The sequence below is a fragment of the Homo sapiens genome, chromosome X, assembly GCF_000001405.40.
Source record: "Homo sapiens chromosome X, GRCh38.p14 Primary Assembly".
NCBI lineage: Eukaryota > Metazoa > Chordata > Mammalia > Primates > Hominidae > Homo > Homo sapiens.
Window position 1 is genome coordinate 54,135,880 of NC_000023.11, and position 12,823 is coordinate 54,148,702.

The 12,823-nt window shown below is 41.6% G+C and overlaps 1 protein-coding gene and 1 pseudogene across 3 annotated transcripts in view; one reads left to right on the plus strand and one right to left on the minus strand.

The window, feature by feature from the left end:
• FAM120C (family with sequence similarity 120 member C) overlaps positions 1 to 12,823 on the minus strand; it is a 114,931-nt gene that overhangs the window by 67,556 nt on the left and 34,552 nt on the right. For all 3 annotated transcript variants that reach the window (NM_001300788.2, NM_017848.6, XM_006724589.5), the window contains exon 5: positions 612 to 711. In NM_001300788.2, coding sequence (NP_001287717.1) covers positions 612 to 711 — 100 coding nt within the window. The remainder of the gene's footprint in view (positions 1 to 611; positions 712 to 12,823) is intronic.
• Positions 11,487 to 11,780, plus strand: RPL37P24 (ribosomal protein L37 pseudogene 24; annotated as a pseudogene).

Here is a 12,823-nt window from a genome sequence, read left to right on the forward strand (position 1 = left end):
CCCCAAAGACAGGGATATTTTACATATACCAGGCCAGAATGGGGGTTGGCATCAGAAGAAGCCCAAGCTAAGGAAATGGCATTGCACCCCATCTGTAAATTTGAGAAAGCAGGGCCCTTCTTTTTTTTTTTTTTTTGAGGTGGAATTTCACTCTTGTTGCCCAGGCTGGAGTGCAATGGCGCGATCTTGGCTCACCGCAAACTCCGCCTCCCGGGTTCAAGCGATTCTCCTGCCTCAGCCTCCCGAGTAGCTGGGATTACAGGCGCCTGCCACCACGCCCAGCTAATTTTTTGTATTTTTCATAGAGACGGAGTTTCACCATGTTGGCCAGGCTGGTCGTGAACTCCTGACCTCAGATGATCCGCCCGCCTCAGCTTCCCAAAGTGCTGGGATTATAGGCGTGAGCCACTGTGCCTGGCCAGGGCCCTTCTTATGTTACGTCTCTTATGACACAGAAATCAAAAGGAGAAAGCCTACCAAACAGGGATGAGGAATGACTTGTAGGAGGATATAACACGAATGAGTGATTCCACTCTGGCCCTGGAGTTCCTGAGGGACCAACTCAGTTTCCCCTATGAACAGAGCAGCTTAGGGTCAGATGGAAGCCTTACCTAGAAAGGAGGGACCCACTGGCAGCGAAGAGAGTTTGGTTGTGACTGAATAATACTCAACTGCTTTCTTGAATCGCTCTATTTTATCTTCTGTCCTGGACTGGATGTTGGAACATCAGATTTTCAGAAGAAAAAACATGAGAGTGTTTTTTTAATACAGTTCATAATTTGGGAATCAAAATAATTATCAGAAATCAAATATTTAAAGAAACCTAAGAAAGCAAATTTTCGCTTTGCAGACAAGATTAGGCAGGGAGAAAGCATTATGAAACATCAAATATGGAATACTTAAAGCTTATATTTTGTGCTATTCTAAAATGATTACATGATCATTACAAAAAAATACAATGGGATAAGGGGGAAAAATCACATAGTACCACCATCCAAATATATTTTGGTGTCTTTCTAAAATAATTGGTGTCTTTCCTTACAGTATGTTTTAATTTTATTATTTTATTATTATTATTATTATTATTATTTGAGACAGAGTCTCGCTCTGTCGCCCAGGCTAGAGTTCAGTGGTGTGATCTTGGCTCACTGCAACCTCCACCTCCCAGGTTCAAGCGATTCTCCTGCCTCAGCCTCCCGAGTAGCTGGGATTACAGGTGTGTGCCACCACGCCCAGCTAACTTCTGTATTTTTAGTAGAGACAGGGTTTCACTATGATGGCCAGGCTGGTCTCGAACTCCTGACCTCAAGTGATCCATCTGCCTTGGCCTCCCAAAGTGCTGGGATTACAGGCGTAAGCCACGGTGCCCGGCCAATTTTTTTTTATTTTTGCTCAGGCTGGTTTTAAACTCCTGGCCTCAAACAATCCTCCTGCCTCAGCTTCCCAAAGTGCTGGGATAATAGGCATGAACCACTGTGGCTGGCTTACAGTATTATTTTGTATAATTTTGTTGATGTATAGCTGGTCTATTTTAATATATGTATTTTTCTATAGTTGACAGTATGCTTTATGTACAATTTTGTATCCTGCTTTTATAATAATAATCTAAGTAATTTTGAATGGCTGCATATTTTGTCATTATGAATGTGTCATAAATTATGTAACCTCTTCCCTAATAAAAACACTTAGGTAATTTTTCACATTTGGCTTTTGTAAGTTATACAGCAAAGAGTATATATTGTCTATATAAATTTTTTTCTGGATTTCAGATTATGCTCTTAGGAAAATATCCTAAAAATGAAATTATTGGTTCAAAAGGTATGAACATTAAAACCAAAGGCACTTAAACATATATAAAACCACAATATGACACCACTACATATCCACCAAAATGGCTAAAGTAAAAGACTATCAATATCAAGCACTGGCAAGGATATGAAGTAACTGAACTCCAGTACATTGATGGTGGGAGTGTACATTGGTACAGTTTGGAAAACAATTTGGCAGTTTCTTATAAAATTAAATTACACTTACCATATGATACAGCAATCCTACTTCTTCTAGGAGGATACAGTTAAATACTACCCAAGAGAAATGAGTACATATATCCACCAAAAGACATGAACAAGAATGTTAACAACTACTTTATTCATAATAGCCCCAAACTGGAAACAACTCAAATATATATCAATGGAAGAATAAATAAATTGTGGTATATTCATACAATGGATTACTATACAGTTATAAAAAAGAACAAAGTATTGATATACACGATAATATGTGTAAGTCTCAAAGATATTATACTGAGTGAAGAAGGGAGACACAAAAGAGTACACATAAACTGGGCCTGGTGGCTCACACCTGTAATCTCAGCACTTTGGGAGGCTGAGGCAGGCAGATCACTTCTGCCCAGGAATTCAGACCAGCCTGAGTAACATGACAAAACCCCGTCTCTGCAAAAAATACAAAAATTAGCTGGGTGTGGTGGCGTGTGCCTGTAGTCCCAGGCACTTGGGAGGCTGAGGTGGGAGGATCGCTTGAGCCTGGGAGGTCAAGGCTGCAGTGAGCCGAAATTGTGCCACCGCACTCCAGCCTGGGCAACAGAGACACTGTCTCAAAAAAAAAAAAAAAAAAAAAGAGTACATATAAAGTTCAGGTAAAGGAGGGCCAGGTGCAGTGGCTCACACCTGTAATCTCAGCACTTTGGGAGGCCAAGGTGGGGCTCACCTTTGGCCAGGAGTTCGAGACCAGCCTGGCCAACATGGTAAAAACCTGTCTCTACTAAAAATACAAAAATTAGCTGGGCATGGTGGTGCACGCCTGTAGTCCCAGCTACTTGGGAGGCTGAGGCAAAAGAATCGCTTGAACCCAGGAGGCTGCAGTGAGCCGAGATCTTGCCACTGCACTCCAGCCTAGGCGACAGAGCGAGACTGTCTAAACAAACAAACAAACAAAAAGTTCAGGTAAAGGCAAAACTAATCTGTGGCAACAGAAGTAAAAATTAATGTTTATCTCTGTAGGGAAAGGGCTAAGAAGGGGCTTTTTCATTTATCAAGCCTTTTCCAAAGTTATTTAAAAGTCTCCTTGAATATAATTTTAAGACCATCATAATATTTCATCAAGTGGAATGGAAGATATTAAAGTCATTTTCAGTTTCTAATTATAAATAATACTCTCACATAGGCATATTTTTATGTAGGTCTTCTGGGTTATTTCATAGGGCAAATTTTTAGAAGTGTAGTTACTAGGTCAAAGGGTGTGATCGTTTTCACAAACTCTTGACACATGATACTAAATCTCTTTCCAAAACAGATGTCTCAAGTTATACTACCATCATGAATGTACAAGAGTGTCCCACCATACAGCCCTAGTGTTGAGTATTCTCTACAAATAAAAAACTGTAAAACATGTATAATGTTATCTCTCATAGATTTTGATTTTTTTTTTGCTTTTATTTATTTATTTATTTATTTATTTATTTATTTGAGATGGAGTCTTGCTCTGTGCCCAGGTTGGAGTGCAGTGGCACAATCTCGGCTCACTGCAACCTCCTGGGTTCAAGTGATTCTCCTGCCTCAGCCTCCCGAGTAGCTGGGACTACAGGCACCCGCCACCATGCCCAGCTAATTTTTTTTGTATTTTTAGTACAGACGGGGTTTCACTGTGTTAGCCAGGATGGTCTTGATCTCCTGACCTCGTGATCCGTCCATCTCGGCCTCCCAAAGTTCTGGAATTACAGGCGTGAGCCACCTTGCCTGGCCCCTGCTTTTATTTTTAAATTTTTTTATTTATTTGTATTTTTGAGACAGACAGGGTCTCCTCTGTTGCCCAGGCTGGAGTACAGTGGTGTGATGATAGCTCACTGCAGCCTTGAACTCCTGGGCTCAAGTGATCTTCTCACCTCAGCCTCCTGAGTAGCTGGACTACAGGTGTGTACCACCACACCTGGCTAGATTGTGATTGTTAACACTCCAGGATCTATACAGCATTCCAGGCCTCTTTATTTGCAGCGTGCATGTACATAAACACAAGAGTTGAGGTCTTCAGGTCCTCTAGCCTAACTTAAAAACAAAATGGCTCTCCTTTTTCCAAAAAGCTGAATTTCATGTAACTATTTGAAAGAAGGGTTCCCGGCCGGGCACGGTGGCTCATACCCATATTCCCAGCACTCTGGGAGGCCGAGGCGGGCGGATCACTTGAGTTAAGGAGTTCGAGACTAGCCCAGGACAACATGGTGAAATCCCGTCTCTATTAAAAATAAAAAAAATTAGCCGGGTGTGGTGGCGTGCACCTATAATCTCAGCTACTTGGGAGGCTGAGGCAGGAGAATTGCATGAACCCAGGAGGCGGAGGTTGCAGTGAGCTGAGATCGCACCATTGCACTCCAGCCTGGGTGACAGAGACTCTGTCTCAAAAAAAAAAAAAAGAAAAAGAAAAAAGAAAAGGAAAGAAATAATAGCTGGGCGCGGTGGCTCACACCTGTAATCCCAGCACTTTGGTAAGCTGAGGCGGGTGGATCACCTGAGTTCAGGAGTTCGAGACCAGCCTGGCAAACATGGTGATACCCCATCTTTACTAAAAATACAAAAAAGTAGCCAGGCGTGGTGGCGGACACCTGTAATCCCAGCTACTCAGGAGGCTGAGGCAGGAGAATCACTTGAACCTGGGAGGCAGAGGTTGCAGTGAGCTGAAATCACACCACTGCACTCCAGCCTGGGCAACAAGAGTAAAACTCCGTCTCAAAGAAAAAAAAAAAAGAAAAGAAAAAGAAAAAAAGAAAGAAAGAATAGCTGGCCAGGCACAGTGCCTCACTCCTGTAATCCCAGCACTTTGGGAGGCCGAGGCAGGCGGATCACTTAAGACCAGCCTGGCCAACAAGGTGAAACCCTGTCTCTACCAAAAATACAAAAATTAGCCAGGCGTGGTAGCAGGTGCCTGTAGTCCCAGCTACTTGGGAGGCTGAGGCAGGAGAATCCCTTGAACCCGAGAGATAGGGGTTGCAGTGAGCCAAGATTGTGTCACTGCACTCCAGCTTGGGTGACAGAGTGAGACTCCGTCTCAAAAAAAAAAAAAAAAGAAAGAAAGAAAAAGAAATAATAGCTAAAAACTCCTCAAATTTAGTGACTGACAAACAGAGATGCAAGAAGCTCTAAACAGTATAAATTCAAAGAAATCCATGCCAAACACATCACTGGCAAATTCTACCAAACAATTAAAGAAGAAATAACACCAATTCTACAAAATCTCTTCCAATAACAGAAGAGGAAAGAACTCTTGCCAACTCATTTCATTAAGTCTGGCATTGCCTTGAAAATAAAACCAGACTAAGGACAGCACAAAAAAATTATAGGTCAATATCCCTCATGAAAATAAATGCAAAAATACTCAATGAAATACCAGCAATTCAAATCCAGCAATACAAAAAGGGACTAATATACTACAATCACATCCTGGGAATATAAGGATGGTTGAATATTCAAAAATCAATCTAAAATATTAATGGACTAAAGAAGAAATACAACATGATCCTATCAATATATGTGGAAAAATGCAATTGCCAAAATACAAACACCCAGGAAACTAGGAATAGAAGATAACTTCCTCAACCTGATAACATGCACAAAAACTACAGCTAATATCCTATGTAATGAAGACTGAATGCTTTCTCTAAAGATCGGGAACAAGATAAGAATATATATTCTTAGCATTTGTATTCATATCATTTGGAAATCCTAGACAGTGCAGTATAGTCAAGAAGAAAAAGGCATACAGATGGGAAAATAAAATAAAATGGTCATTATCCATAGACAATATGATCACCTACACAGAAAATCCCAAGAAATCTACCAAAAAACTCCTAGAAGTAATAAGTGAGTTTAGAAGAGTCATAGAATACAAGGGCAACATTCAAAAATCAATTGCATTTCTATATATTAGCAATGAACAATTAGAAATTTAAAAAACAAAATATCCTTTATAATAGGTGTCTCAAATATGAAATACTTAAGTATAAATATTTTTTATATGTACAGTTGTATGCTAAAAACTATAAAACTTTTAGCTGATGAAAAAAATCAAAGAAGACCTAAATAAATAGGCAAATAATATTCATGGATTCAAAGGCTCACCAAATTCATCTATATATTTAATGCGATTCCAATAAAAATTGCAGCAATATTTCTTTTTTGTAGATGTATAGACAAGATTATTCTAAAATTTATATGAAAAGGGAGGAGGTTCCAAGATGGCCAAATAGGAACAGCTCCAGTCTACAGCTCCCAGCGTGAGCGACACAAAAGACGGGTGATTTTTGCATTTCCAACTGAGGTAGTGGGTTCATCTCACTGGGGCTTGTTGGACAGTGGGTGCTGGGTGCAGCCCACAGAACAGGGTGGGGCATTGCCTCACCTGGGAAGCGCAAGGGGTCGGGGAATTCCCTTTCCTAGCCAAGGGAAGGCCATGACAGATGGTACCTGGAAAATCGGGACACTCCCACCCTAATACTGCACTTTTCCAATGGTCTTAGCAAATGGCACACCAGGAGATTATATCTCACGCCTGGCTCGGAGGGTCCTACACACGGAGCCTTGCCCACAGAGCCTCACTCACTGCTGGCACAGCAGTCTGAGGTCGAACTGCAAGGCAGCAGCGAGGCTGGGGGAGGGGCGTCCGCCATTGCTGAGGCTTGAGTAGGTAAACGAAGCCACCCAGAAGCTGGAACTGGGTGGAGCCCACCACAGCTCAAGGAGGACTGCCTGCCTCTGTAGACTCCACCTCTGGGGGCAGGGCATAGCTGAACAAAAGGCAGCAGAAACTTCTTCAGACTTAAACATCCCTGTGTGACAGCTTTGAAGAGAGTAGTGGTTCCCCCAGCACAGAGTTTGAGATCTGAGAATGGACAGACTGCCTCCTCAAGTGGGTCCCTGAACCCCGAGTAGCCTAACTGGGAGACACCTCCCAGTAGGGGCCGACCGACACCTCATACAGCCGGGTGCCCCTCTGAGATGAAGCTTCCAGAGGAAGGATCAGGCAGCAACATTTGCCATTCTGCAATATTTGCTGTTCTGCAGGCTCCGCTGGTGATACCCAGGTAAACAGGGTCTGGAGTGGACCTCCAGCAAACTCCAACAGACCTGCAGCTGAGGGTCCTGACTGTTAGAAGGAAAACTAACAAACGGAAAGGACATCCACACCAAAACCCCATCTGTACATCACCATCATCAAAGACCAAAGGTAGATAAAACCACACAGATGGGGAGAAACCAGAGCAGAAAAGATGAAAATTCTGTGTAGAGGGAAATTTATAGCACTAAATGCCCACAAGAGAAAGCAGGAAAGATCTAAAATTGACACCCTAACATCACAATTAAAAGAACTAGAGAAGCAAGAGCAAACACATTCAAAAGCTAGCAGAAGGCAAGAAATAACTAAGATCAGAGCAGAACTGAAGGAAATACAGACACAAAAAACCCTTCAAAAAAATCAATGAATCCAGGAGCTGGTTTTTTGAAAAGATCAACAAAATTGATAGACCGCTAGCAAGACTAATAAAGAAGAAAAGAGAGAAGAATCAAATAGACGCAATAAAAAATGATAAAGGGGATATCACCACTGATCCCACAGAAATGCAAACTACCATCAGAGAATACTATAAACACCTCTACGCAAATAAACTAGAAAATCTAGAAGAAATGGATAAATTCCTGGACACATACACCCTCCCAAGACTAAACCAGGAAAAAGTTGAATCTCTGAATAGACCAATAACAGGCTCTGAAATTAAATTGAGGCAATAATTAATAGCCTACCAACCAAAAGAAGTCCAGACAGATTCACAGCCAAATTCTACCAGAGGTATAAGGAGGAGCTGGTACCATTCCTTCTGAGACTATTCCAATCAACAGAAAAAGAGGGAATCCTCCCTAACTCATTTTATGAGGCCAGCATCATCCTGATACCAAAGCCTGGCAGAGACACAACAAAAAAAGAATTTTAGACCAATATCCCTGATGAACATTGATGCAAAAATCCTCAATAAAATACTGGCAAACCGAATCCAGCAGCACATCAAAAAGCTTATCCACCATGATCAAGCTGGCTTCATCCCTGGGATGCAAGTCTGATTCAACATAGGCAAATCAATAAACGCAATCCATCATATAAACAGAAGCAAAGACAAAAACCACATGATTATCTCAATAGATGCAGAAAAGGCCTTCAACAAAACTCAACAGCCCTTCATGCTAAAAACTCTCAATAAGCTAGGTATTCATGGGACGTTATCTCAAAATAATAAGAGCTATTTATGACAAACCCACAGCCAATATCATACTGAATGGGCAAAAACTGGAAGCATTCCCTTTGAAAACTGGCACAAGACAGGGATGCCCTCTCTCACCACTCCTATTCAACATAGTGTTGGAAGTTCTGGCCAGGGCAATCAGGCAGGAGAAAGAAATAAAGGGTATTCAATTAGGAAAAGAGGGAGTCAAATTGTCCCTGTTTGCAGATGACATGACTGTATATTTAGAAAACCCCATCGTCTCAGCCCAAAATCTCCTTAAGCTGATAAGCAACTTCAGCAAAGTCTCAGGATACAAAATCAATGTGCAAAAATCACAAGCATTCCTCTACACCAATAACAGACAACCAGAGAGCCAAATCATGAGTGAACTCCCAGTCACAATTGCTTCAAAGAGAATAAAATACCTAGGAATCCAATTTACAAGGGCTGTGAAGGACCTCTTCAAGGAGAACTACAAACCACTGCTCAATGAAATAAAAGAGGACACAAACAAATGGAAGAACATTCCATGCTCATGGATAGGAAGAATCAATATTGTGAAAATGGCCATACTGCCCAAGGTAATTTATAGATTCAATGCCATCCCCATCAAGCTACCAATGACTTTCTTCACAGAATTGGAAAAAACTACCTTAAATTTCATATGGAATCAAAAAAGAGCCTGCATTGCCAAGACAATCCTAAGCCAAAAGATCAAAGCTGGAGGCATCACACTACCTGACTTCAAACTATACTACAAGGCTACAGTAACCAAAACAGCATGGTACTGGTACCAAAACAACGATATAGACCAATGGAACAGAACAGAGCCCTCAGAATTAATACCACACATCTACAACCATCTGATCTTTGACAAACCTGACAAAAACAAGCAATGGGGAAAGGATTCCCTAGTTAATAAATGATGCTGGGAAAACTGGCTAGCCATATGTAGAAAGCTGAAACTGGATCCCTTCCTTACGCCTTATACAAAAATTAATTCAAGATGGATTATACACTTAAATGTTAGACCTAAAACCATGAAAACCCTAGAAGAAAACCTAGGCAATACCATTCAGGACATAGGCATGGGCAAGGACTTCATGACTAAAACACCAAAAGCAATGGCAACAAAAGCCAAAATAGACAAATGGGATCTAATTAAACTAAAGAGCTTCTGCACAGCAAAAGAAACTACCATCAGAGTGAACAGGCAACCTACAGAATGGGAGAAAATTTTTACAATCTACCCATCTGACAAAGGGCTAATATCCAGAATCTACAAAGATTTACAAGAAAAAAATCAAACAACCCCATCAAAAAGTGGGTGAAGGATATGAAAAGACACTTCTCAAAATAAGACATTTATGCAGACAAAAGACACATGAAAAAATGTTCATCATCACTGGCCATCAGAGAAATGCAAATCAAAACTACAATGAGATACCATCTCACAACAGTTAGAATGGCGATCATTAAAAAGTCAGGAAACAACAGATGCTGGAGAGGATGTGGAGAAATAGGAACACTTTTACACTGTTGGTGGGACTGGAAACTAGTTCAACCATTGTGGAAGACAGTGTGGTGATTCCTCAGGGACCTAGAACTAGAAATACCATTTGACCCAGCCATCCCATTACTGGGTATATACCCAAAGGATTATAAATCATGCTGCCATAAAGACACATGCACACGTATGTTTACTGTGGCACTATTCACAATAGCAAAGACTTGGAACCAACCCAAATGTCCATCAATGACAGACTGGATTAAGAAAATGTGGCACATACACACCATGGAATACTATGCAGCCATAAAAAAGGATGAGTTCACGTCCTTTGTAGGGACATGGATGAAGCTGGAAACCATCATTCTCAGCAAACTATCGCAAGGACAGAAAACCATACACCACATGTTCTCACTAATAGGTGGGAATTGAACAATGAGAACACTTGGACACAAGGTGGGGAACATCACACACCGGGGCCTCTCGTGGGGTGGGGGAAGGGGGGAGGGATAGCATTAGGAGATATACCTAATGTAAATGACGAGTTAACAGGTGCAGCACACCAACATGGCACATGTATACATATGCAACAAACCTGCACGTTGTGCACATGTACCCTAGAACTTAAAGTATAATAAAAAAATAAATAAAATTAAATTAAAAAAAATAAAATTTATACGGAAAGACAAAGGAACAAATATAGATAACAGTGAAAAATAATATAAGTTGGCTGGGTGCAGTGGCTCATGCCTGTAATCCCAGTATTTTGGGAGGCCAAAACAGGAGGATTGCTTGAGCCCAGGAGTTTGAGACCAGCCTGGGTAACATAGCGGGACCTTATCTCTACAAAAAATTTAAAAATTAGCCAGGCATGGTGGCACACACCTGTAGTTCCAGCTACTTGGGAGGCTGAAGCAGCAGGATCACTTGAGCCCAGGAGGTTGAAGCTGCAGTGAGCCATGTTTGTGCCACTGTACTCCGGCCTGGGCAACAGAGTGAAACTCTGTCTCTAAATGAATGAATGAATGAATGAATGTGGTGGAATCACTAACCAATTTTAAGACTTATTATAAAGCTACAGTAATCAAGATAGTGTATTACTGGTAAAAGGATAGACACATAGATCAACTGAACAGAACAGAGTCCAGAAGTAGACCCACACAAACATGGCCAATTTATTTTTAACAAAAGTGCAAAGGTAATTCAATGGGGAAAAGATAGTCTTTTCAACAAACTGTGCTGAAACAATTTGACATCCATATGAAAAACACAACCTCTCATACTTTATACAGAAATGAACTAAATATGGATGATTTGTTCTAAAATGTGAAGTGCAGAACTATGTAATTAAAAAAGAAAAGCAGGCCGGGCGTGGTGGCTCATTCCTGTAATCCTAGCACTTTGGGAGGCCGAGGCGGACGGATCACCTGAGGTCAGGAGTTCGAGACCAGCCTGGCCAACAGGGTGAAACCCCATCTCTACTAAAAATACAAAAGATCAGCCAGGTGTGGGGGCGCGTGCCTGTAATCCCAGCTACTCAGGAGGCTGAGGCACAGTAATCGCTTGAAGCAAGGACGTGGAGGTTTCAGTGAGCTAAGATAGTGTCACTGCACTCCAGCCTGGGTGACAGAGTGAGACCCCATCTCAAATAAATAAATAAATAAATAAATAAGAAAAACAGAAAGTAGAAGTGAGGTGACGAAGGGAACGTCATCATTTGGAAAGCCTCACATTAAGACGCACACATTGCGCTGCTGCTACAGCTCTAATACCTGCCACTTTCAGAAGTCAATGTGTGGCAAATGTCGTTACCCTCCCAAGCATAAAATAAAGTATAACTGGAGTGCTAAGGCTAAAAGACAAAATACCGCCGGGATTGGTGTTACTAGTTACCTAAAAATTGTACACCATGAATTCAGGCATGGACTCTGTGAAGGAATAACACAAAAACCCAAAGGGGCAGCTGTAGCAGCATCCAGTTCCTTTTAAGAATTTCAATGATTGGTCACGCAATAAATGTTTTGTTGCTTTTTCTTTTTTTGAGATGAAGTTTCACTCTTGTTGCCCAGGCTGGAGTACAATGGTGCAATCTCGGCTCACTGTAACCTCCGCCTCTCGGGTTCAAGCGATTCTCCTGCCTCAGCCTCCTGAGTAGCTGGGATTACAGGCACGCGCCACCATGCCCAGCTAATTTTTTGTATTTTTAGTAGAGATGGGGTTTCACCATGTTGGCCAGGCGGGTCTCAAACTCCTGACCTTAAGGTGATCCACCCACCTCAGCCTCCCAAAGTGTGGGGATTACAGGTGTGAGCCACCACGTCCGGCCAATGTTCTGGTTTTTAAAAAATATTTTTAAAAAAGAGAACAAAAGAATATTGTCATGCCTGCGGTTGGGCAAAGAGTTCTTAGACATCACACCAAAAGCATGACCCATAAAAGATAAAAACTAATGAAAAATTTAAAACTTTGCTCTGCAAAAGATGCTGTTAAAAGAAAAGACAACTACAGACTGGGGGAAAATATTTGCAAACCAGATATCTGTCAGAGCACTCATATGCATTATAAAGAACTCTCAAAACACCACAGTAAGTAAATGAACAAACCAATTTTAAAAAAAAAAGGAAAAGACTGTTCATGAACAAATCATTTACCAAAGAGGATATATGAATGAAGTATGCTCAGAACAAAAATGTTGGCCAGGTGCAGTGGCTCACACCTGTAATCCCAGCACTTTGGGAGGCCGAGGTGAGCAGAAGGCTTGAGCTCAGGAGTTTGAGACCAGCCTAGGCAACACAGCAAAACCCTGTCTCTACGAAAAGTACAAAAATTAGCCAGGCATGATGGTGTGCGCCTGTAGTCCGAGCTACTTGGGAGGCTGTGGTGGAAAGACTGCTCAAGCCCGGGAGGCGGAGGCTGCAGTGAGCAGAGGTCGTGCGACTACACACCAGCCTGGGCAATAAAGTGAGACTGTGTCTCAAAAAGAAAAAAATGTTCATCATTAGTCACTTGGGAAACATAAAACTATGACGAGC